Source organism: Homo sapiens, chromosome 14 (assembly GCF_000001405.40).
Source record: "Homo sapiens chromosome 14, GRCh38.p14 Primary Assembly".
In the NCBI taxonomy this organism is placed as follows: Eukaryota; Metazoa; Chordata; class Mammalia; order Primates; family Hominidae; genus Homo; species Homo sapiens.
In genome coordinates this window covers 100,497,083-100,523,706 of record NC_000014.9, presented here as the reverse complement: position 1 = coordinate 100,523,706, position 26,624 = coordinate 100,497,083, and the positions used below count along the sequence as shown (strand labels likewise).

The 26,624-nt window shown below is 40.6% G+C and overlaps 1 protein-coding gene across 7 annotated transcripts in view, besides 2 other annotated features; it reads right to left on the bottom strand.

Moving 5' to 3' along the window:
- WDR25 (WD repeat domain 25) overlaps nucleotides 1–26,624 on the bottom strand; it is a 153,819-nt gene that overhangs the window by 6,597 nt on the left and 120,598 nt on the right. The window lies entirely within an intron of this gene.
- Nucleotides 307–967: an enhancer, noted in NCBI's record as "H3K27ac-H3K4me1 hESC enhancer chr14:100989077-100989737 (GRCh37/hg19 assembly coordinates)". NCBI's record gives its function as "activates a minimal SCP1, AML or CMV promoter by ChIP-STARR-seq in naive H9 embryonic stem cells {active_cell/tissue: H9 hESC(naive)}" and the evidence as "EXISTENCE:reporter gene assay evidence [ECO:0000049][PMID:30033119]".
- Nucleotides 23,406–23,906: an enhancer, noted in NCBI's record as "H3K4me1 hESC enhancer chr14:100966138-100966638 (GRCh37/hg19 assembly coordinates)". NCBI's record gives its function as "activates a minimal SCP1, AML or CMV promoter by ChIP-STARR-seq in primed H9 embryonic stem cells {active_cell/tissue: H9 hESC(primed)}" and the evidence as "EXISTENCE:reporter gene assay evidence [ECO:0000049][PMID:30033119]".

The window sequence follows — 26,624 nt, the reverse complement described above, 5'->3', positions numbered from 1 at the left end:
CCACCACTCGGCCCACCAGCAAACCTGGGGGATGCTGGGCCGCTGCTGACTCGTCCAGAGCAGCCTTGGGTTCCTGCCACTTCCAGAGTGCACGGGGTTGGGGGTGGTCACTGGGCTCCAATCTTGGCCCACTACAGATTTACTATGTGCCTGGGGAAGGTTCGTTCCCTTCCTAGGTCTAGTTTTTGAGTCATCAACACGAGGGCCCCAACCACACCTCTGAGCCTCTAAGTACTCCTGGTCCTCAGAAAGAAGAAGGACTGGCGGATGCACCCAGCTATCCCTCACCCCATGCTGCCAGTCCTCTGCACCCAGACCTGAAGGACAGGGGGTGGGGAGGCACTGCTCTGGGCTCACACGCAACCCTGTGCTCCCTTAGCTGCCCACATCAGCCACCTGCCTACGCCACAGGACTGTGAGCTCCTGGCACAGACGCCCTGCTGCCCACATTTCTGGGTCACCCTTGGCTAGCACTGGGTCTGCCCCTGCAGGCATCAGTAAGGTGTGTCAAATTGATGCTGGATAAGTGAGTAAATGCATAAATGAATGAGTGAATGAACAAAAGGTCGACTACTTTAAAAGTAGCAATCCAGGGTCCTCCGGCTCCCAGCAACATCCTGGCATGCAGGGCTGAGGCAACACACAAAAGCCTTTGCCACTGGCTCTCCCAGGACCCCCGGGTGAGATGACATTCACTCACAGGTCCTTCCCCTGGCCCTGATTGAGCCAGCCCCTGCCCTGTGCCTCAGACGTGGAGACAAAGGAAAGCTGCTCCAAGACCTTGGTGGGAGGTGGGAGCACAGCAGGACTGTGCTCCACGCTGCAGCCTCACAAGAGCCCAGAGGTGGGTGGGGCCTCTCCTGGCCCTTGGATGAGCAGGGGTGAGATGCCAAGTGGGAGGGCCCAAGCACTTAGGCAGACACCCTGGGGACCTGAGCGTGGCAGCCTATTACTGGCTGCATAATTTTGGGCAAGTAACTTCCGTCTGTTCTTCAGTCTCCATATCTGTAAAGTAGGGGTAACAACAGGACCTCCAGCTGAGGAACTAAGGGTGCTGTGCCCAGCTAAATGCCTGACACATACAAGCCCGATGCTTGTAAACCTTCTCCTCCCCAGCCAGCTAGAGCTAGAGTCCCTAGGATGGAGCTGTGAGTTCTTGGGCAACTCTCAATAATAAATGCATTGTCTTCTTCCAGTGCCAAGATGCAAGGCAAAGTGGAAAGGTAGCACAGGACCCACTGCTTTGGTTTAAAGTCGCAAAAGCAGAAGTCGCCAATCACATAGGATGGTGGCTATCAAAAGCAACTGACATTTACATTAAACAAAGTATAACATAACTATGAGAAAAAACATGATTGAATTTCTCTACAACCTGGGACTAGGGAAAACTTTCCCAGCTATGACTCCAAACCCAGAAGCAATAAGTGAAAAGTTGAATAAACTGGACTATATAAAAACAATAATAATTAAAAAAAAATACTTTGGGATGGCAGAAAGCAAGCAAGTAAATAAATAAATAAAGTAAAAAAGACAAGTAGGAGAAATATTTACAACTTCTATTACAGGCAAAGGTCACTATCTGTAATACACAGATGGTCCCTAAAAATAGATGAAAAAGACCAATAGCTCTACAGAAAAACGGGCAAGGAAACAGAGCTCAGAAAAAAATGAAATGGTCCTTCCACTTTGCTCCTAACAAAAGCAATGCAAATTTAAATCACACAGAGATACCATTACTTGCCTATCAAATTAACAAAATCCCAAAGTTTTGCAACACCCTTGTTAGGTGGCTCTGGGGGTGTTAGGTATCTACATATGGCTGCCAGAAATGCAAATGGTACAAGCCCTGTGCAGAAAGGATTTAGACAACTTTGAGCAAAATAACATATGCATCGTTACTCGGCAATATGCATGACCCAGCAACCCCACTTCTAAGAACTAATCCTAAACTTACACTGGCAAAATCCCAAAGAGATATAAGCACAATGCCACTGAAAACAGCACTATTTGTAAAAATAAAAAACAGGGAACAACCCAATGTTCATCGAGAAAGGACTGGCTGAATAAACTCTAGTACATTAATACTCTGGACCACTACGCAGTTGTAAAAAAGAATGAGGAACCTATCCTGCTATGAAGCGATCTCCAGGACACATTGTTCAGTGAAAAAAAATTCAAAGTGGGAGAAAAAACTGTGTAAAGAAGAGGGGACGTGAACATGTGTGTGTTTCCACTAAGAAGCAATAAGAAGACAAACTAGAAACTAAAATAAGCAAATAAATAAGACTGCCTTAAGAGGAAGGGAGGGGAGCAGAATGGGGGAGACAGGGTTAGAGGTGGAACATGGATGATTTCTCGAAATGTACCTTGTTTTGCAGATTTGACTCTAGAACAAGGGTTACAAAGTTTTTCTGTAAAGAGCCAGTCAGTAAATATTTTAGGTTTTGTAGGCCATATGTAGTCACTGTTATATATAATTCTCTCTCTGTCTCTCTCTCTCTCTGTGTGTGTGTGTGTGTGTGTGTGTCTATGTGTGTGTCTGTGTGTTTGTTGGAGCTGGTTAAAAATGTAAAAACCATTCTCACCTCAAAGACCATATAAAAACAGGTCACAGGCAAGATAAGACCCATCAACTGTAGTTTGCCAATCCTTTCTCTGGACTCATATACACATTTTATTAAATTATGCAACAAAATTAACTTAAAAAGCAATCTCTAAAATGTGAAAGCAAAATTAGGCAAACAAAATTAACCATGTATTGATTTCGTAGCTTAACTGCACAAATAAGGTTTCTTTTAAAAGACCTGAAGCACAGTTACTTTGGGCAAGTAACTTCCGTCTGTTCTTCAGTCTCCATACCTGTAAAGTAGGGGTAACAACAGGACCTCCACCTGAGGAACTAAGGGTGCTGTGCCCAGCTAAATGCCTGACACATACGAGCCCGATGCTTGTAAACCTTCTCCTCCCCAGCCAGCCAGAGCTAGAGTCCCTAGGATGGAGCTGTGAGTTCTTGGGCAACTCTCAGTAATAAATGCATTGTCTTCTTCCAGTGCCAAGATGCAAGGCAAAGTGGAAAGGTAGCACAGGGCCCACTGCTTTGGTTTAAAGTCGCAAAAGCAGAAGTCGCCAATCACATAGGATGGTGGCTATCAAAAGCAGCTGACATTTACATGGTCAATCCTTAGTTGAATATACATTATTAATAGAAAACTGGCAATATGGTGGTAAATCCTAATTAGATATACACTGTGAACAAAGAGAACTGCAAGAAATCTTAAAGTGTTTTCAGTCGTTTCATTGTTAGTGTCAATATATATAAAAGAAATGTGTTAAGGTAAGGCAGATGGAAGTTTAAAAATGTTAGCATAAAAGAGATTTTTAAAATATAAAAACAAAAAAGTAAAGAAAATTCTGTAATCCTAAATTTGAATTGGAAAAATCAGTATAAACAATAATATATTTTGTCTCCACAAGAAAAATATTTCCCAGCTCTGTCCACAGAAGGAGTGTGGAAACAATCAGCAAACTCAACACCTGGATTATAGTTCTTAAACCCAGCTAAACTGGCCAGAAGTGACATAGATAATAGACCAAGACTATATATATATATACACTATATATATATATGCACACACACACACACACATATGTACATATATATGTACACGCCCAAATGATCAATGTGTATATATATAGTGTACATATATATACACACTATATATACTATATATACCATATATATACTATATACACACTGTATTTATACTATAGTGTATATATAGTATATATACTATATATACATCTAGTATACATATATACATATATACATATAGTGTATATATAGTATATATATAGCATATATAGTATATATACTATATATACATATAGTATACATATATACATATATACATATAGTATAGTATATATACTATATATATACTATATATACACACTATATATATACTATATATACACTATATATAGTATATATACACTATATATACTATATATAGATGATTATATGTTATATATAGACTATATGTGTATATATATAGACTACATATATGATACAAAGACTATATATAGATATAGAGATAGTCTTCCATATCTCTACTTACCATGGTCAGTCTCTCCTCTACCTTCTTAAACATATGTTATGGAGTTATAATAACTTTTAATGAATCATATATACATATATGATCCAAATCACACTTCAAGAGATGAAGTATGCAATGTTTGAGATGAAAAATACATTAGATGGGATTAACAGCAGATGAGACACTGCAAAAGAAACCGTTAGTAAACTAGAAGACATAGCAATTAAAATTATGCAACATGTACCAGATAGAAAAAAATTCTAAATTTTAAAATGAACAAATCTAATGTAAACCTGAAATGGAGTAAACCCACTATGCATCTCTCTCTCTCTCTCTCTCTCTCCCCCCTATAAATTACACACACACACACAAAAAAACTCTGGACAAAATTTTAAAAGCAACTACCTGAAGACTCTGAAAAGTCAATAATAGCAGGTGGGTTGGGAAAGGAAGTCAAAATTTGAATAAAGACCAGTATGGCAGATGAGGTTCCCAGTTGGTATTCACTTTTGTGTTTTAACTCCTGCTGTTGACCCAAAGACTGACTGGATTAAGGCAGTACATAGTGGGCATGGACACCAAACATTCTGAAATAAATCCCTCATTCTGCCCAAATGATCAAGCTGAAGAAAAAAATAAACAGAGCTTTGGGGATCTATGAGATAATATCAAAAGCTTAAATATTTTTGTCAACAGAGTCCTTTTTTTTTTTTTTAGAGATGAAGTCTCGCTCTGTCCCCCAGGCTGGCATGCAGTGGCACGATCTTGGCTCACTGCAACTTCCGCCTCCCAGGTTCAAGCGATTCTTCTGCCTCAGCCTCCCGTCCTCTAGCTGGGACTACAGGCACACGTTGCAATGCCTGGCTAATTTTTTGTATTTTAGTAGAGACGGGGTGTCACCATGTTGCCCAGGCTGGTCTTGAACTCCTGAGCTCAGACAATCTGCCCGCCTTGGCCTCCCAAAGTGCTAGGATTACAGGTGTGAGCCACCGCAGCTGGCCATCAACAGAGTTCTTAAAGGAGAAGGTGAAGACAGCAGTACCCAAAAGAAAGAATATTTAAGGAAATATTGAGTAAACTGTTCCCAAATTTGGTTAAAAAGTCAAGAGACTCTGCAACCACAAAGAGGATAAATTAAAAAGAAAAAACACAATACAAACCATGTTCTGCATATCCCAATCAAACTGCTAAAAACCTCAAAGAAAAAACCTTGACAGTGCCCAGGAAAAAAAAAAATGAAGAATTACACAGAGGAGAACAATTTGAAATACCATAAATGTATCATCAGAAACTATGGAGACCAGAAAACAGCGGAACATACTGAAAGTGGTAAATTAGCATCAATCCAAAATTTTACAGACAGCAAAAATATCTTTCAGGAATAAAGAGGAAATGAAGGCCTTTACAAATGAAGAAGAACTAAGTGAATTTGTCATGAACAGACCTGATCTATCTAAAACAAATGCTAAAGGAAGTTCCTCAGGCTGACAGGAAATAATGCCAGAGGAAAACTTGGAGCTTCAGGGATGAAGGAACAGCAGCAAAAAACGGTAAATGATTAGGTAGATATAAAAAATCATTTTTTCACTTAAGTTATATGAAATACGTATGACTCTTGAAAAAAATATATAGCATTGTCTGGGAAGGGGATCTTCAATGTATGTAGATGTAATCCATAACACAATTTTAACTTACAGGGTAGGGGGTAAAAAGGCTTATCTGGTTAGAAGAATCATGTTTGTTTTGTTTGTTTTGTTTGTTTGTTTGAGACGGCGTCTTGCTCTGTTGCCCAGGCTGCAGTGCAGTGGTGCAACCTCAGCTCACTGCAACCTCCCCTTCCTGGGTCCAAGTGATTCTCCTGCCTCAGCCCCAGGAGCAGCTGGGACTACAGGCGCGTGCCACCACGCCCGGCTAATTTTTGTATTTTTAGTAGAGATGGGGTTTCTCCATGTTGGTCAGGCTGCTCTCGAACTTCTGACCTCAGGTGATCCTCCTGCCTTGGCCTCCCAAAGTGCTAGGATTACAGGCGTGAGCCACCACACCTGGCCTAGAAGAATCATATGTTTTACTTGAAGTGGTAAAATATTAACAATAAGTAGAATTGTGAAAAATTAGGCATGTATATTGTAGTCCTTACAGCAACAATTTAAAGGTATAATACAAAGAGACATAACCAAAAAGCTAATAGATAAAATAATATGATATAATAAAAATGTTAAAATAATCCAAAGAAGGCAGGAAAAGAGCAAGTGGAATAAAAACAGAGGAGCTTTGGGAGGCCGAGGCGGGTGGATCATGAGGTCAAGAGATCCAGACCATCCTGGCTAACACGGTGAAACCCCATCTCTACTAAAAATACAAAAAATTAGCCAGGCGTGAGGCAGGAGAATGGCGTGAACCCTGGAGGCGGGACTTGCAGTGAGCCGAGATTGTGCCACTGCACTCCAGCCTGGGCGACAGAGCGAGACTCCGTCTCAAAAAAAAAAAAAAAAAAAAAAAAAAACAGAGGAGATATGTCAGGTGCAGTGGCTCATGCCTGTGGTCCTGGCTACTTGGGAAGCTGAAGTGGGAGGACTGCTTGAGCCCAGAAGGTCAAGGCTGCAGTGATCTATGATCATACAACTGCACTTCAGCCTGGGTGACAGAGTGAGATCCCATCTCCTTTAAAAAAAAAAAAAACAGAGACAAATAATAAAATAATAACATGACAGGCCAAAGTCAACCATAGCAGTAATTACATTAAATATAAATTGTCTAAAATCTCCAACTAAAAGACAGATTGTCCAATTGGCTTTCAGATTAACATTTAAAAAGATCCAACTGTATCTAGTCTACAAGACAGCCACCTTAAATATAATAAAATACATAGCTTATAAGTAAAAGGATAAAAAAATATACCATATTAAAAATAACCAAATGAGGGCTGAAGTGACCATATTAATAGCAGGCAAAGTAGACTTCAGAACAAGGAAAACCGCCAGGAATAAGAGGAATACAATGAAAACGTACAAGTGTCAATTCATCTAGCAGACATAACAACCTTAAATATGTATATACCTAATAACAGACTTTCAAAATACATGAAGCAAAAACTGATGGAATTGAAAGGAGAAACCATACAAGTCCACGATTTTACCTGGAGATATTAACACTCCTTTCTTTATAATAAGTAACACAAATATTAATCAGTGCATTCATGTGAGGAAACTACACAAACCGGGAAAGGAACCACCAAAAGAGAATAAGCAAAACAATTGCCAAGTTTCACACAGAGCTAGGAATCATTCATTTTCCCACCAGTCAGAGGGGGAAAACCTTGAAATACACATGGCATTGGATAGAGTACTCACAAGAGTATAACCTCAGAAATGAGGCAAAATTGGCCCTAGTCTAAAGGCTGTTTTTGTTCCACCAAACAAAGCCTAACAGCAAGCCTCTGAAAAATCAAACCGTTATCAAGCAATACAACCGCATCCAAAAAATCTCTCAAAATATGTAAAGCACAACAAAATACTGAATACCCAAAAAGTAAAATTCACAATGTCTGGCATCCAATCAAAAGTTACCAGACCTGGAAAGAGGTAAGAAAATGCTTCCCATAATGAAAAAAAAAAAATCTGTCAATAGAAACAGACCCATGAGTGACACAAATGATAGAATAAATAGAAAAGAGGTTGGGCGTGGTGGCTCACATCTGTAATACCGGAACTTTGGGAGGCTGAGGCAGGTGGATCACCTGAGGTCAGAAGCTCAAGAACAGCCTGGCAAACATGATGAAGCCCCATTTCTACTAAAAATACAAAAAAAAAAAAAAAAAAAAGCAAGGTGTGGTGGCATGCGCCTGTAATTCCAGCTACTAAGGATGCTGAGGCAAAATTGCTTGAACCCAGGAGGCAGAGGTTGCAGTGAGCCAAGATTAGGCCACTGCACTCCAGCCTGGGTGACAGAGTGAGACTCAGTCTCAAAAATAATACTAATAATAAATAGAAAAGAACAATAAATCAGTTATGACTATATACTGTATGCTCAAGAAGGTAGCGGACAGTATGAGAATGTTAAGGATAATACACATGAAAGATATCTTTTAAAGACCCAAATCAAACATGTAGAAGTGATATAAAACAATGCCCCGCTATTAATAGATTAAAAATTGCATAAGATATGATTACTAAATTTGAAGATATGGAAGAACAGAGGATCAGTGAGCTATGGAATAAATCCAAAAACCCTGAATATGAATGTAAGTGAGACAGGGAGATGAGGGGTGGGGTTTCGGGGACAAACAAAATTGAAAAAACTACGAGCAAAAATTTTCCAAATTTGATTAAACTGTAAACCCACAGATAAAAGACTATAATACATTGATTAAAACTATAAACTCACAGATAAAAGAAACTAAACAAAGCCTAAGAAACATAGAGAAAAATTACACCAAGGCCCATTGTTTAAATTGCTTGAAGCCAATGGTAAAGAGAAAAATCTTAAAAAGCAGACAGAGAAAAGATGCATTATATACAGAAAAGCAAAGATGAGAAATACAGCAGACTTCTCATTGGAAACAGAGCAAACTAGTGACAATTGAGTGACATGTTTAAAGTACTGGAAGAGAAAAAAATCATCAACCCCAAATTCTTTACCTAGCATAAATATCTTTTAGACAAAAGACAAACTAAAGATTTTTTTGGGCAAATAAAAGCTGAAATAATTTATCACTAGCAGACCAAAAATACAGGAAATGTTAAAGGAAGTCCTTAAGGCACAAAGAAAATGATACCAGATCTAAATTTACACCCAAAAATGAAAAGCAATAGAAATAATACATATGTAGGAAAATAGATAATATCTTTTTATTATTAAAATATTTTTAAAATTATTGGCTACTTCCAGCAAAAATAATAACAATGTTGGAGATTGTAACATAAGTAAGAGTGAAAAATGTATGACAGTAATAGCACAAAGACCCTGAGGGGAGAAACTGAAAATCTGAATACTGCTCTAAGGTTCTTACAGAAAAAGAGATATAATGTGACTTAAATGCAGACAATCATTTTAAAAAAACAAACCCCACAGCACAATGCCACAGATGATAAAGCAACAAAAAAGATTAAGATGAAATCATAAAAATACTAAATTAATCCAAGTGAAAAAAATGGATGGGGGAGAAGAGATGGAACAAATAAAAAAAAATAGCAAGGTAGCAGATTTAAACCCAACCATATCAATAATCATAATAAATTAAAACAGGACAAATAACCTAGTTCGAAAGAAGAGATTGTTAGACAGGTTTAAAATAAAGAAGCAAGATCCAGCTATATGCTGCCTAAAATAAACAAACTTTAAATATAAAGATACAAATAGGTTAAAAGTAAAAAAGGGCCGGGCGCGGTGGCTCACGCTTGTAATCCCAGCACTTTGGGAGGCCGAGGCGGGCGGATCACGAGGTCAGGAGATCGAGACCATCCTGGCTAACACGGTGAAACCCCATCTCTACTAAAAATACAAAAAAATTAGCCGGGCGTGGTGGCGGGCGCCTGTAGTCCCAGCTACTTGGGAGGCTGAGGCAGGAGAATGGCGTGAACCCGGGAGGCGGAGCTTGCAGTGAGCCGAGATTGCGCCACTGCACTCCTGCCTGGGCCACAGAGCGAGACTCTGTCTCAAAAAAAAAAAAAAAGTAAAAAAGATATGCCATGCTAACAATAATTAAAATAAGCCAGGAATGTCTATATTAATACCAAAGTAGATTTCAGAGTAAAGAATAAAGGGATAAAGAGGGTCTTTTCATGGCTGGGCACAGTGGCTCATGCCTGTAATCCTAGCACTTTAGGAGGCCGAGGCAGGAGGATCACTTGAGCTCAGGAATTTGAGACCAGCCTGGGCAACCCAGTGAGACTCTGTTTCAAAAAAAAGAAAAAAAAAAAAGAGGGTCCTTTCACAATGATAAAAGAATCAATTCATTAGGAGAACATGATAATCCTAACTGTGTATGCACCTGGTAACAACTTCAAAATAAATGCAGGAAAACTAACAGAACTGAAAAAGGAAGTAGACAAATCCACTCTTAGAGACACAAATTGCAAGCCTTGTCTTAGTGCATTCCTGCTGCTAGGACAAAATACCTTAGACTGGGCAATTTATAAATAATAGATATTTACTTCTCCCATTTCTGGATGGTGGGAAGTCCAAGATTGAGGTGCCAGCAGATTCAGTGTCTGGTGAGGGCTTGCACCTTCTTGCTTGTCCTCACATGGCAGAAGAGATGGAAGAGTAAAAAAGGGCCCACCTTGTTCCCTCCAGCCCTTTTATAAAGGCATTAACTACACTAACAAAGGTGGAGCCCTCATGACGTAATCTACCCCTTATGTGCCCCCACCCCCTAATACCATCCCTTTGGGGTTTAAGTTCCAACATATAAATTTTGGAGGGATACATACGTTCAAAGTATAGCACAGCTCTTATAGAATAGACAGAAAAAACAGAAAGGATATAGAAAATTTAAATAACACTATCAACCAACTTGACGTAATTGACATTTATAGAACACTGCACCCAACAACCACAGAACACACGTTCTTTTCAGTGCACACAGAACATTTACCAAGATAGACCATATTTTAAAACATCAAAAAAATCTAAATAAATTTAAAAGAATTCAAATATACAATGTATGTACTGTGACCACAATGGAATTGAATTAGAAAAAATAACAAAGAGGCATCTGAAAAGTTCCCAAGTGTTTGGAACCTAACGAGCACACTTCTAAATAAATCATGGATCAGGAAGAAACCAAAAGGAAATCAGAAAGTATTTTGAACTGAATGAAAATGAAAATGCAATATATCAACAGCTTGGGTAGTGCAGCTGAAATACCTAGAGAAAAATCAATAGTATTGAACATCTATAATCGGAAAAGAATAAAAGTCTCAAAACTATGACCTCAGCTTACACTTTAAGAAACTAGAAAAAGAAAATTAAATTCAAGGTTTTTGTGAAAGAAAGGAAATAAGATAGGAAAAGAAATCAATGAGTTCTGTAAAAAGAAAAGAAAGAGTAAAAGACAATAAAATGAAAATCTGATACTTGATCAATAAAATTTATAAGCCTCTAGCTAGACTGATCAGAGTAAAAAACAGAGAAGACAAAAATCACCAATATCAGCACTGAGAGAAATGAGGTGGTATCACCACAGATTATACAGATTTTTAAAAATAACATTACAAAAAACTTTATGCCAAAAAATTGGACAACTTTGATGAAATGGACAAATTTCTTGAAAGGCACAAGCTATCAAAAGTCACTCAAAGATTAATAGAAAATCAGAATAGCCCTATATTTACTAAGTAGATTTTATTTAAAATTTCAAATCTTCCCACAAAGAAAATTTCAGGCCAAGACAGCTTCACTAGTCAATTCTAGCAAACATTTAAGGAATAATGTCAATTTTTACACGAAGTCTTCCAGAAAATTGATGAGAAATGAACATTTCCCAATTTGTTCTATGAAGCCAGAATTACCCTGATACCAAACCCATACAAAGATATTATAATAAAAAAAGTTCAGATCAATAACCCTCATAAACATAGATGCAAAAATTCCTAACACAACTTTAGCTGATATAATTCCAAATTATACAAAGGGAATAATATATTATGATCAAGTGAAGTTTATCCCAGGAATGCAAGGCTGTTCTAATATTTGAAAATCAACTGACAAAATCCACCATATTAACAGAATAAAAAAACCACACATGATCATTTCAATAAATGGGAAAAGGCATTTAACAAAATCTAACATTCATTCATGATTTTTAAAAAACTCTCAGCAAACTATGAATAAAAGGGAGTACATTCAAACTGATAGGGACATGTACAAAACAACTAGTTGACATCATATGTAACTGAAAGAGAATACTTTCCCTCTATGATCAGAAATAAGGCAAGGATGCACACTCTCACCACTTCTAGACAACACTGTTCTAGAGGTTTGAGCCAGTGCAATAAGGAAACAAGAAAGGAAGGAAGGAAGGGAAGGAGAAAAGGAGGAAGGGAGGGAGGGAGGAAGAGAGAAAATAGATGAGAGAGAGAGAGGATAGAGATAGACAGATAGTGTCCAGATTGGAAAAGAATAACTAAACCTGACTTTATTAACAGACAACATGATTATCTATATAGAAAATCCAATAGAATCTACAAAGAAACAACCAGAACTAATAAATGAGTTTAGAAGAGTTACAGAATTCAAGGTGAAAATTCACATAGCCACAATTTTTCTATATACTAACCATGAGCAACCAGAAGCTGAAATTTTAAAATATCACTTACAATAGCATCAAAATATAAATACTTGGGGATAAATTCTGACAAAAAAATGTGAAAGACCTACACTATGAAAACTACAAAACATTGGTGAGAAAAATTAAAGACTTCAGTAAATAGAGAAGTATACTATGCTTATGGGTTGAAAGAAACAAAATTGTTGGCAGTACAATTCTTTCCCAAATTGCTCTACAGATGAGATGCAATACCATTTAAAGTTCAAGCCAGTTTTTTTTTGCATAAATTGGCAAAGCAATTGTAAAACTGAAATGTAAATGCAAAGAACCTACAGTAGTCAGAACAAAGGTGGAAGACTTATACGAGCTGATTTCAAGATTCATTATAATATTACAATGATGAAAACAATGGTATAAAGATAGACAAATAAATCAATGGGGCCAGTGCAGTGGCTCACACCAGTAATCCCAACTCTTTGGGAGGCCAAAGAAAGAGGATCACTTGAAGCCAGGAGTTTGAGATCAGCCTGGGCAACATGGCGAGACCCTGTCTCTACAAAAAAAAAAAAAATTTACATTATTATTATTATTATTATTATTATTTTGAGATGGTGTCTCGCTCTGTCACCCAGGCTGGAGTGCAATGACGCGATCTCGGCTCACTGCAACCTCCGGCTCCCGGGTTCAAGTGATTCTCCTGCCTCAGCCTCCCGAGTAGCTGGGATTACAGGCACCCACCATCATGCCCAGCTAATTTTTGTATTTTTAGTAGAGACGGGGTTTCACCATGTTGGCCAGGCTGGTCTTGAACTCCTGACCTCAGGTGATCCGCCCACCTTGACCTCCCAAAGTGCTGGGATTACAGGCGTGAACCACTGTGCCCGGCCAAAAGAAATTTTTTTTAAATTAGCCGAGTGTGGTGGTGCACATCTATAGTGCCAGCTACTCAGGAGATTGAGGCAGAAGGATCGCTTGAGCCCAGAAGTTCCAGGCTGCAGGAGCCATGATCGTGCCACTGCCTGGATGACACAGTGAAACCCTTGTCTCTAAAAATTAATTTTTTTTTTTTTTGACATGGAGTCTCGTTCTGTCACCCAGGCTGGAGTGCAGTGGTGCAATCTCAGCTCACTGCAACCTCCGCCTCCCGGGTTCAAGCAATTCTCTTGCCTCAGCCTCCTGAGTAGCTAGGACTACAGACACACGCCACCACGCCCAGCTATTTTGTGTACTTCTAGTAGAGACAGGTTTTGCCATGTTGGCCAGGCTGGTCTCGACCTCCTGACCTCAAGTGATCCACCCACCTCAGCCTCCCAAAGTGCTGGGGTTACAGGTGTGAGCCACCATAACCAGCCTACAAAAAATTTTTTTAATTAAAAAAAAAAAGAAATCAATGGAACAGAAGAGAGAGTACAACAATAGACCTAAATCTATTTAGCCAATTGATTTCCACAGAGAGGTAAAGGCACAGATATTGTTTTCAACAAATGCTGCAGAAATTTGATTATCCACAGGCAAAAACATGAAACTACATCCATACCTGTACCATACACAAAAAATTAATACTAAATAGATCACAGACTTTAATATGAAGCCCAAAACTATACAACTTCTAGAAGTAAACACAGGGGCACAAAAACTTTTGAAGGTAATGGATGCATTATTTATCTTGATTGTGGTAACTATTTCATGGATGTATACATATATGAAAACTTAAACTGTACATTTTGAATATGTGCAGCTTATTGTATGTCAGTTATATTTCCATAAAAGTATAAAAAGGGCAGGACACGACAAAAATGAAGGAAAAATAAAGACATTTTTGATAAACAAAAACAGAGAATTCCCCACCACAAACCTGTATTATAAGAAATGCTAAAGGAAGTTCTGCAGCCTGGGGGGTAGTGATACCAGATTGGCACTCAGATCAACAAGAAGAAATGAAGACACCCCAGCCATTAAAAAATAAAGTTAAAAACAATTTTAGAGCAATAAATTTGACAATTTAGATAAAATGGAAAAATTCCTTAGAAGATAAAAGATAACAAAAACAACTAAAGGAGAAATAGGACACCTGAATGGCCCACGTTACACATAGTTAATTTTTTTTGTGATTCAATATCTACCTACAAAGAAAGTCTTGTGTCCAGATGTCTTCACTGCTGAATTCTATCAAACATTTAAGGAAGAAATAATACCAATCTTATACAAACATTCAAAAACATAAGTAGAGAACATTTCTCAGTTCACTTTTCTGAGGTCAATATTAATCTCACATCAAAATGAGACAAAGAATATAGGAAAAAATGTATCGATCAATAATCCTCATTAACATAGATTTTAAAAATCCTTAACAAATTATTAGCAACTTGAATTAAACTCTATATAAGGACAATATATCATAAAACCAAATAGGAAAGATATGGTTTAACTTTAAAAAAAATCAATGTAATTCAACATATTAGCAGAACATAGGAAAACATATAGATGTAGTAAAATCATTTTTGACAAAATTCAACACCAATATATGATTTTTAAAAAATTCATACAACTAAGAATAGAAGGTAGCTTTCTTAAACTGACTTAAGGTATCTATGAAAAACCAACATCTAACATCATACTTAATGGTAAAAGACTGATTGTTTTCCCTACAAAATGAGAAACAAGACAAAAATGTCCATTTTCACAATTTCTATTCAGTATTGTACCGAAAGTTCTAGTCATTGTAATACAGCAAGAAAAATAAATAATTGCACATGCATTAGAAAGAAAGCTGTAAAATAATACAGACTACATGATCATGTAAATTAAAATTTCTAAGTAATCTAGGAAAAAGCTACAAGAACTAAGAAGTGAATTTTAGTAAGGTCACATGATACACAGTCCATATAAAAGAGTCCTGTATCTTGCCTGATTGTTCTGGCTAGGACTTCCAGTACTACATTGAATTAGGAATGGTGAGAGTAGGCACCCTTGTCTTATTCCAGTTCTCAAGGGGAATGCTTCCAGTTTTTGCCCATTCAGTATGAAGTTGGCTGTGGGTTTGTCATAGACAGCTCTTTTTATTTTAAGGTATGTTCCTTCAAGGCCTAGTTTCTTGAGGGTTTTTATCACGAAAGGATGTTGGATTTTATTGAAAGCTTTTTCTGTGTTTATTGAGATAATCATATTATTTTTGTTTTCAATTCTGTTTATGTGGTGAATCACATTTGTTGATTCACATATAATGAACCAACTTTGCATCCGAGGAATGAAGCCTACTTGATCATGGTGAATTAACTTTTTGATGTGCTGCTGGATTTGGTTCACTAGTATTTTGTTGAGGATTTCTGCATCTATGTTCATCAGGGATATTGGCTTGTAGTTTTCTTTTTTTCTTGCCAAGTTTTGGTATGAAATGTTGGCTTTGTAGAATGAGTCAGGCAAGAGAAATAAAGGGCATTGAGATAGGAAAAAATAAGTCAAACTATCTCTCTTCACAGATGATATTATTCAATATTTAGAAAACCCTAAAGACTATGCCAAAGGGCTCCTGGAACTAATAAATGACTTCAGTAAAGTTTCAAGATAAAAATTCAATGTGTAAAAATCTGTAGCATTTCTATACACCAATAACATTCAAGCTGAGAACAAATCAAGAATACAATCCCATTTGCAATACCATTTGCAACAGCCATAAAAAAAAAAAAAAACACAAATACCTAGGAATACATCTAACCAAGAAGGTGAAAGATCTCTACAAGGAGAACTACAAAATACTGCTGAAAGAAATCATAAACGACACAAACAAATAGAAAACCATTCCGTGCTCATGGATTCGAAGAATCAATATCATTAAAATGACCATACTGCCCAAAGCACTCTATAGATCCAATGCTATTCCTATCAAACTACCAATATCATTTTTCACAGAACTAGAAAAAACTGCTCTAAAATTCATATGAAACCCAAAAAGAGCCCAAATAGCCAAAGCAATCTTAAGCAAAAAGAACAAAGCTGGAGACATCCTATTACTTGACCTCAAACTATACTATAAGGCTACAGTAACCAAAACAACATAGTACTGTACAAACACAGACACATAGCCCAATCAAACAGAATAGAGAACCCAGAATAAAGCTGCACACCTGCAGCCATCTGATCTTCAACAAAGTCAACCAAAATAAGCAATGGGGAAAAGATTCCCTTTGCAATAAATGGTGCTGGGATAGATGGCTAGCCATATACAAAAAAATGAAACTGGCCCCTGCCTTTCACCATATACAAAAATTAACTCAACATTTAAATGTAAGACCTCAAACTTTAAGAATCCTATAAAAATAAAACCTAGGAAACATCATTTTGGACATCAGCCTTAGGAAAGAATTTATTGCTAAGTCCTCAAAAGCAACTGCAATAAAAACAAAAATTAACAAGCAGGACCTAATTAAACCAAAGAGCTTCTGCACAGCAAAATAAACTATCCAGAGAGTAAACAGACAACCTACAGAATAGGAGAAATATTTGCAAACTACGCATCTGACAAAGCTGTAATATCCAGAATCTATAAGAAACTTAAACAATTGAACAAGCAAAAAAACAAATAACCCTATTAAAAAATGGGCCAAAGACATGAATAGACACTTCTCAAAAGAAGACATACAGGCAGCCAGCAAATATGAAAAAATGTTCAACATCACTAGTCAGCAGAGAAATGCAAATCAAAATCACAATGAGATAACTTCTCACACCAGACAGCATGGCTATTACTAAAAAGTCAAAAAAATAACAGGTGCTAGCAAGGCTGCAGAGAAAAAAGAACACTTATACTCTGTTGGTGGGAATGTAAGTTATTTCAGCCATTGTGGAAAGCAGTTTGGAGGTTTCTCAAAGAACATAAAACAGTACTACCATTTATCCCAGCAATCCCATTACTGGGTATATATCCAAAAGAAAATGTTATTCTACCAAAGAGACACATGCACTCACGTGTTCATCACAGCACTATTCACAATAGCAAAGACATGGAATCAATCTAGGTGCCCATCAACAGTAGATTGAATACAGAAAATGTGGCAAATATACACCATGGAATACTATGCAGCCATAAAAAAGGATGAAATCATGTCCTTTGCAGCAACACGGATGAAGTTGGAGACCATTTTCCTAAGCAAATTAATGCAGGAACAGAAAACAAAAATACTCCATGTTTTCACTTATAAGTGGAAGCTAAACTTTGGGTACTTGTGGAAATAAAGATGGCACAATAGACACTGTGGTCTAGAGGGTGGAGGGAGGGAGCGGGCAAGGGTTGAAAAACTAACTGTTGAGTACTATGCTCAGTAACTGGGTGAAGGGATCAATCATACCCGAAACCTCAACATCACGCATTATACCCAGGTAACAAACCTGCACGTGTATCCCCTGGATCTAAAATAAAAGTTGAAATTATTTTTTTAAAAAGAAAGTTAATAGTATTTCTATATACTAATACCAAACAACTGGAAAATGAAATAAAATATAAAATTCCACTCACATTAGTATCCAAAAACATGAGAAACTGAGGAATAAATTAATACAACATGTGTAACATCAAACACTGAAAACTACAAAACACAGCTGACAGAAACTAAAGAAGAGCTAAATAAATGAAGAGATGTGCTATGTTCATGGATAAGAAGATGCAACATTATTAAGATGTCAATTATCCCCAAACTGATCTACAGATTGGACCCAATAGATATCTTTGTAGAAAAAGATAAGTTGATTGTAAAATTGAAATACGAATGTAAAGAACCTAGAATAGCCAGAAAAATCTTGAAAAAGAAAAGCAAAGTTTGAGGCTTAAACTTCTCAATCTCAAAAATTATTATAAAGCTACAGTAACCAAAAGAGTATGATATTGGTAAAATGATAGACACATCAATCAATAGAACAGAACTGACAAGCCAGAAAGAGAACCTCATGTGGCAAATTGATTTTCCACCAAGGCTCCAAAAACAATCTAATGAGGAAAATAATGTCGTTTCAACAAATGCTGCCAAAACAACTGGGTATCCCACATAGCAAAAGAAATAAATAACTGTTGACCTTACCTCACACCATAAACAAAAATTAACTGAAAATATACCATAGCCCTGAATAAATGTATGGCAAAAACTATGAAACTTCTAGAAGAAGACATAGGAGAAAATCTTTGCAACATTAGGATAGGTAAAGATTTCTTAGAACACAAAAACCTATGTAATAGGAGAAAATAATTCCAGAATATAGAAAGACTCTTAGAACTCAATAATAATAAATTTATATAGGCAAATACTTTGAACAGATCCTTCACAAAACAAGACATTCAAATGGTCAATAGGCCCACAAAAAGATGTTCACCATCATTAGTCATCAGGGAGAAGAAATTAAAGCCACAATCAGATACTACTACACACCCACTAAAATAACTAAAATGAAAAAGACTGACAACACCAAGTGTTGGTGAGAATGTGAGGCAACTGACACTTTCCCACACTGCTGATGGAAATGCAAAATGGTACAACCACTTTGGAAACAGTTTGGTGACTTATTAAAAATTTAAATATATATATACTACACCACTTAGCAATTCCACTCTCAGTTATTTACCCAAAGAAAGGAAAATGTATATTCACATACAGACCTGTTCATGAACGTTCTCAGCAGCTTTACTCATAACAGCCAAAAACTGGAGACAACTCAAAACGTCCATCCACAGGTGACTGGATAAACAAACTGCGGTATGTCCATACAATGGACTATGACTCAGCAACAAGGAATGCTGATACATACAATAGGGATGAGCCTTGGAAGCAGCAGCAGACTCACAAGCTCCCCCAGTGACCTGCTTTAAGATGAAACCACCAGTTCATAAGACATACAGAAGGAACAGAGGAATGTGTTAAATTACATCAGAGGGATACAGTAAGAAAGATACAGGAAAAATAACTGATTTATTACCCAATAAATAAGTTATAAGAAAAAGAAAGTAGGAAAGAAATCTATAGACTTAAGAGACTTAGAAATCAAATGTTAGGGTCCTGATTTGAACAAGGCACTGTTTAAAGCAAATTATGAGACAACCAGGGAAATCTGAACATGGATTAGAGAGTGGATGATATTAAGGAATTATTGCCAAATTACTAGATGGGATAACAGTTTTTTAAGCCCACACCTTTTAAAGAAACAAAAGTATTTACAAATAAAATGACAGGATGTCTGGGATTTGCTTCAAAATAATCAGTGGTGAGGGTGAGGAGGGTGGAGACTATTGGGAAATGGGTAGGATTATGGATAAAATAAGCATGGCCATAATTTTATAATTGTTAAAACAGGATGCTGGTTGCATAAAGGTTCATTAATTAGTCTTTCTACTTTGGTATATATTTACATTTTTCAATAATAAAAAGTTTCTTTAAAGTGCTCTGAGGGGAGGAATTAGCTCCACAAATGTTAGTTCTTCTTATCAGCTGGGCCTGAAATCATAAGCAGAGGTGGGACCAACTGAAATCAAGCAGTGCGTACAGAACAGACATAATTAAAGCGAATTACACCTGCGGTAGCATGCATCTGTCCCATCTGTCCAGAACCCAACCCCGCTCTGCCAACGGGAATCCAGCAGTCTTCGGGGACGGGGGCTGAGGTGGCCAGGGCTGGGGACAAGGTTGTGATGTGTAAGTGAAGCCGGGGAGCCCGGCAATTCTCCTACCTAGGTGCCAGTGGTTTCTATAGAAACCACCAGAGAAATGATATTTCACAGAGCACAAAGCGTCTCCACTGGCCTCCACTGGCTTTGTTCACACTTGCCCATCTGCAGCTGAGATCCAGCTTATCAAAGTGGCCCTCACGGCTCACTTTTAAATAGGTACAGCTCATTATAAAGCACCTGCTTTCAAATGTTTCCAAGGAAACAGAGGCCCCAAGACACCCCTCTCTCTAAATTCATTAGCATTTAACACTCCTTAATGAGGCTTAAAGATGGCGCGCTTTAATAACCACATGCGGGGGGCAGGGGGAGGACACCTTTCCCTTTTATATTCAGGTGTAACTGATGAGCTGGCTCAGGCTCCCAGGGGACACGCTTTAAAGGCAATGGTGACAGCATGCTGGGCGTGACTGGGGAGGTCTCCCTTATCTCTAAAGCCTCCCTTGGGGTGTTCAGCTCTGGGTCACAACCTAAAAATGGCCAGGGTGGAGGCCCTGCACTGGCCACCATGGGCAGCCAAGCTGACCTTGTTTCCTAACTCTCCTCTGAATGCGCATGCACACACACACACACACACGCACACACACACACGGACACAGACACACACACATGCATGGATGGACACACACATGCATGGATGGACACACACACATGCACCGACACACATACAGACACACACACTCACAGACACACACTGCGTGTTCTCCAGCAACAAAAAACCCTCACCATTCCCTCATATGTTGTGCCCTTTAGTGCCTACGTGCCTTTATACATTCCTTATGCCTAAAATACCCTACCTTGACTTGCTGCCTAGAAAACTCCTATGTATCCTTTGAAACCCTCTGCCAGCCAAGCCTCCCAATGTGGCAAGCAAAATCATTAGCTCCTTCTTCTGTGAGTCTTTCATTAGCCCCCAAGCAGTTCCCATCACGATGTACTCTGTGGAGACTGACTCCTCCCCTCGCCATGCAGGGAGGGACCTCATGTTCCCCCACGCCGTGGCCACTTGGCCATGCAGTGGTTAATTCAGCAAGTGTCTATAGGACCCCTAATGAAGAACTCTAAAGTGAGCAGCTCCAGGACACTGGTGGAACTGGAGCTGGCAGGTGGGGAGCAGCCTGTGAGTGTCTTGGGTCCCCCAGCTCCCCCAGCTCCAGGAGAGGGAGCTGACTACTCGCAGCAGGAAGGCCTCGTCAGAGCCATTCCCAGCTAACAACTGGGGGTTGTGCTCTACACAGGCTAGGTCATGGAGTTCAGCCTATTCCTGGCAGATGGGGAAACTGAGGACCAGGGAATGAGGGCACTGAATGTGGGGGGCTCATGAGAGCCTTAAGGCCTTTCCCCTTAAGCAGGGAAGTTATGAAACTGTCCCTCGGACAATGTACAGAGGTGGATGACATCAGGCTCAGAGCTGAGTGGGAGGGCAAGGGCCACCACAGTGGGGGGCTCTGCCTGCACCTCCCACAACTATCAAGGGGCCATGCCTGAGGCACTTCCAACAGAAGCAGAACATATCCTCCAAGGACAGCCTTCCTAGGTGTGAGCCCCATCAAACAGCCCAAAGAGCTGTCTGGGGACAGGTCACGGGACCCGGGGAGGGATGGGGAATAGGATCCACCAAAGGGTGGTAGGAGCGGACAGGGAAGGAGGGCTCCCTGGGGCTCCTGGAGAGTGAGATGAAGCTGGCCCTTGTCTGCTGCACAGCTCCAGGCAGACTGCACCATCCTCCTCTCTGCATTGCCTGAGGGACCATTTCCCAGCATCCTCCTCCAAGGAAAAGGCCCAAATGGCCTTTGTGAGCCCCCACATTCAGTGCCCCCATTCTCTGGTCCTCAAGTTCTCCATCCATCAGGAAGGGCTGAGCTGTACCTTCCTCTGTCTTGGAGGGTATTTACTGGCTTGTTGCCATGTGGGAATCACAGGGCCTCTGACAGCTCCTGGGGTGGCTTACACAGGGGTTCCCACAGTGACAGCTCCTAAGTTCCCATTTTAGGTTCTTTCCCCCACATCCTGAGTGTCCACACTTATTCAGCAATAATTAATTCACTTCTCCCTTTAAAAAATTAATCAAAGACATGGGAGAATGTGTATCTGAGCTTCTGATCAGCCTGAGATGACCGGTGTTATCGCACTGGGTTAGAACATCTTCAGCCGAAAGCACAGGCACTTGATGTTTTGGCCAGGTATGCTGTCTGGCTGGGGGGAAGGTACAATCTCTGCTCCACTTTTAGCAAAACTGAAGACAGCTCATGATGGCCAATTATCATGAGCTCGTGGAGGGCACAACCCTGTTGTGATCATCATCTGAAGACATCAAGATGGCCAGGAGCATTTATTGAACACTCTAAGTGCCATCTGTCTTGCTAGGTGCCTTACATGTGACCTCCTTAATCCTCGTGACCACTTTGGGAAAGTTGGGCTCGCCAGCTGCACTGTACAGTTGAGGACACTGAGGTCAGACAGGTGAAGTGCCCTGCCCACAATCATGAAGCGAGGTGCAGGCAGAGCCACTGTCACACCTACTCCATGGCCTGACATTCAAGCCGGACCCCTCTGTACCATGCACTACACCAGGTCGCCCGGTGCACACAGTAGCTGCTCAATTAGTGTTTGCTGAATTTGAATTGAATCTAATTGAATCTAAACATACCCACAGAGAAACTGTCATGTTGAAGACTGTGAAATTTTAAATTACAGATACAAAACACATGGGAAAGGAAGAAAAGCAGAAATAGACAATTACACATGTATTTGTGTGTTGATCCTCTCAAGTGAAAAATTGGTTTCCCTTACTTTATAGCGGAGGCACAAATTAAAACTAGGCTCTAACAATGCAGCCACCCCCAAGAGCAGCCCAACTCTGAAAAGCCCAGGCCCCTGCCTCGCAGTACCACCTGCAGCTGCCTCCTCCACGCACCCTCAACCCCAAAGAAGCCACGTAGGACAATGGACAGAGGCTCAGGCCTACTCTGAACAGAGATGGAGATGGTGAGGCTCGCTTGGCTGAGCCAGCGTCAAAACTGTGGGGGGCCCCAAAACCCCAGGCCCTGCCTAGCCCCAGAGAAACTAACTAGGGCACTGAGGGGAGGGGTCTATCTCTCTAATGAGGCACAGGGTCAACAGGGACCAAAAAAGGCCACTTTGTGGTGCACTGGCCTTGGGCTGGGCCACAGAGAATGCCCCGTGCCCGGCATGCCTCCATCTGACCATCCCCACCCCTCCTTCTCCACCCTCCACAGCCAGAGCCACTTCACCCTCCTCGGGTCCCTGGAAGAAGGAGCAGAAGAGACGAGCTGGCCTGCCTCTAGGCCACTGAATTAGGGCAGGGCCTTCCCCGCAGCCCCCGCAGGTCCTGAACCACCCAGAACCGCAGCAGGAGAGAAGTAAGAGTGAGCAAGCCACCCCACTCTCGGGCCCCTCCAGTGTCCACACCAGGGGCACACACAATGCACTAGGAGGGAGCCGCCCCATCCAGTCAGGCTGGCCCTCCTCCTTGGTGCACAGAGAGGATGCAGCAGGTAAGAGAGAAGTAGGGGAGGAGGGTTGTGGCACCTCTAGGAAGACAGCAACCAGGTCCCAGGGAACCTCTGGGTGGAGCGGGGCCAGGCAGGCTGCAAGACCATTTCCCAATGCTTGTACCATCCCCCATCTCAGGGACAGCTCTGTCTCCCCACCAGACAGAGCTATCTGGTGTCAATTTCCAGTCCTTGTATCCCACCTGACTCCAAACACTGAATTCTACATTCACCAGGTGTGCAGTGAATCCTGGCCACCCCTTTGAGTTCTGAGGTGCTTGGCTGGGCTGATTAGCAAGGACTGGGAGCAAAGCAGAACACAGCGAACTTCACCCCCTGGGACCCATTCCACAGCCCAGGACAGGAGCTCTGGAAGGAAGGAGGCCTCTTGTGGCCCGTCTGCTCTATCTCCCAGCCCCACTTCCTTCCTGTCTCAAGAAGGAGGTGGCTTTCTTCCCTATACCCACCCTGCTCCCTCAGCCACCACCCCACCTCCAGCCCATCTCTCTGCACCAGTGCCTTCCTCCAGGATGCAGGTGAACATGCATAAGTCTCACCTACACTGAAAACAAGCAAACTAACAAATGAACCCATTCTTCAGGGTTAGCTGGCACTTCCACTTCTGGAAGGAAGCAGGCAGTGGTTTCCGGAACCTAAAAACCATGCTTACCTTTCGACTAATTCTGCGTTTAAGAATTATTGTGCAGAGAAGTTTGCCTTAGTGTTGTAATAAGGGAACCACTGGAAATCTTATAAACACCCAACAATAGAGGGCTGGTTAAATACATCTTGGTATAATATATTGAGTAATTATTAAAAATTATAGCATCCAAAAACCTTTTAACAATATGGGAAATTCTAATGATATTATAATAAGCTGAAAGACAATTATATAAAAATGTAAATACATATGCATAAAACAATTGAATGAAGGATACCAACTGTCAGTGGTGGTTATGGCTGGGTTGAAGTTTAATGGGTTATCTTCTTTATATTTTTCCATTTCCCAAGTAGCCAACAAAGACCATGTATTCCTTTTCTAATCAAAACGAACATCTAGAGAACAACCACCTCACCCTCCATTCTGAAGTCATGGGCAGCACTTGGGTCTCCAGGTCTCCAAGGCCCTTTTTTGCCTCTACCCCTACACCCTGCTTGCACCCAAGTCACAGGGGGACCCCACGACAAGCCCTCTCATCGGCTCACAGCCCCACTCAGGCCAAGTAAGAGACAGAAGGGGAGGGACAGGGCTGCCACTGGCCCGCATGGCACCTTGGTTCCTATTAGAGAAAGATACCCCTTCGAGTAGAAACCATTCCAAATCAGGGGCGTGGCCTGGCCAGCAGGGCTTGGAATGGAATACAGACCCCACCTATCCCTCAGCAAGGTGCCTCTCTGCACTGTACAGACTGCACAACCTCACATGTTGGCCCTGGAAGAGGAGGACGCAGGGACTGAGGTGGTGGAGAAGGGAGACCCTAAAGCTGCTGCAGAGGTTTCTGGCTGGGCCACCAACTGGGTGGAGGTGGTGCCAGCAGCAGGGCAAGAGACATTTCCTGCAGCTTCTCTGAATCCTCTAAACTAGGAAGACACCCTATAAACAGCAGGTGCTCCGCAGTGTTCAATGAGCAAATGAGTGAGGTGAGCCAGAAAACCGACCTTTTTGAAAAAAAAGAAAAAATTCAAGACAAAGACTGTAATTAAAAACCAAGAAATCTGTTTGGTGGAAAAGGGGCATGCAGAGGGGAAAGAGAGCTATCCACTCCTCATCTCCCTTCTGAACTGGGCGTGGCAATGGCCCGCTTGTTACGGAACGTGGCCCTCAGTCTCCTCTCAGCACATCCATCTCCCTCCGCAGCCTCCGCGCCAGATTTGCAGAGAAGCACCAAGCAGTCTTCCCTCAGGGGTGTGAGAAAAGGCTGTGGCTGCCAGGAAAGCCTGCCCACTGACAGGGTACATGGAACATCCGTGTGCTTAAAATCACACAGCCATCAACACACTCCTGAAACTGGGAATCTATTTGTTGGGGCACAAATTGAATTGCACAAACTTTCCTAAAGTCATACAATCTTTGCAGAGTTATACTGCAGGTCCATGGAGGTTGGCACAATCACTTATTCAAGAAACAGTGAATGAACTGCTGACCAGATGCCAGCACACACACAGTCTGGGGATACCAGGTTGGAAAAGACCATCATGTCTCCCAGCCCTCACAGGGCTCGCATCCCACCGGGGGACAACCAGGGGCTACAACCCAGGCTATCGAGCTGTGGAAGCAGCATCACCTGGCGGGGGGAGGGGGACACACAATCCAGTCGGGCTTGGGAAAATTTCCTGGAGAGGAGACATCACTAGAGAGTTGGAGGACAGGTGACATTTAGCCAAAAAGAAGGGAAATTCAAGGGAAAAAGAAAAATATGTTCAAAATCGACCTGAGGCTAAATTGGAGCACACCTCCTGCAGCCCACCTCTCCACTGATGACAACTGAAATTCTGGACAAAATACAAAAAGCAACTCCCTGAGGACTCGAAAAGTAAACAAGAGCAGGTGGCTTGTGAGAGAGAGACAGAAACTCAGAGAAGTGACTAGTACAGAGGTGGGAACTTGATTTCTTTTTTTGTTTGTTTGTTTTTGTTTTTGTTTTGTTTCTTTTTTCTTATTTTTTCTAACAGCTTTGACCTGAGAGGAGGACTGTAGTAGAGCTGTGCTGGCAGCTTCAAAGTATATGAAGCAAAAAAAGTCACAGAACTGAAGAGAAAAATACACAAATTCACAACTATAGCTGGAGATGTCAACACTCCTCTCTCAGTCACTGAAAGAACAAGTAGATTAAAAAACAGCAAGGATGTAAAAGAACAGACACCGTCATCAACCAATTGACCAAATTGCCATTTATACAACACTCCACCCAACAACAGCAAAATGCACGGAGCATATGGAACATTCAACACTGCAGGCTATATTCTGGGCCATAAAGCTAACCTTGGCAAATTTAGAAGAACTGAAATACAAAGTATGTTTTCTGACTACAACAGGA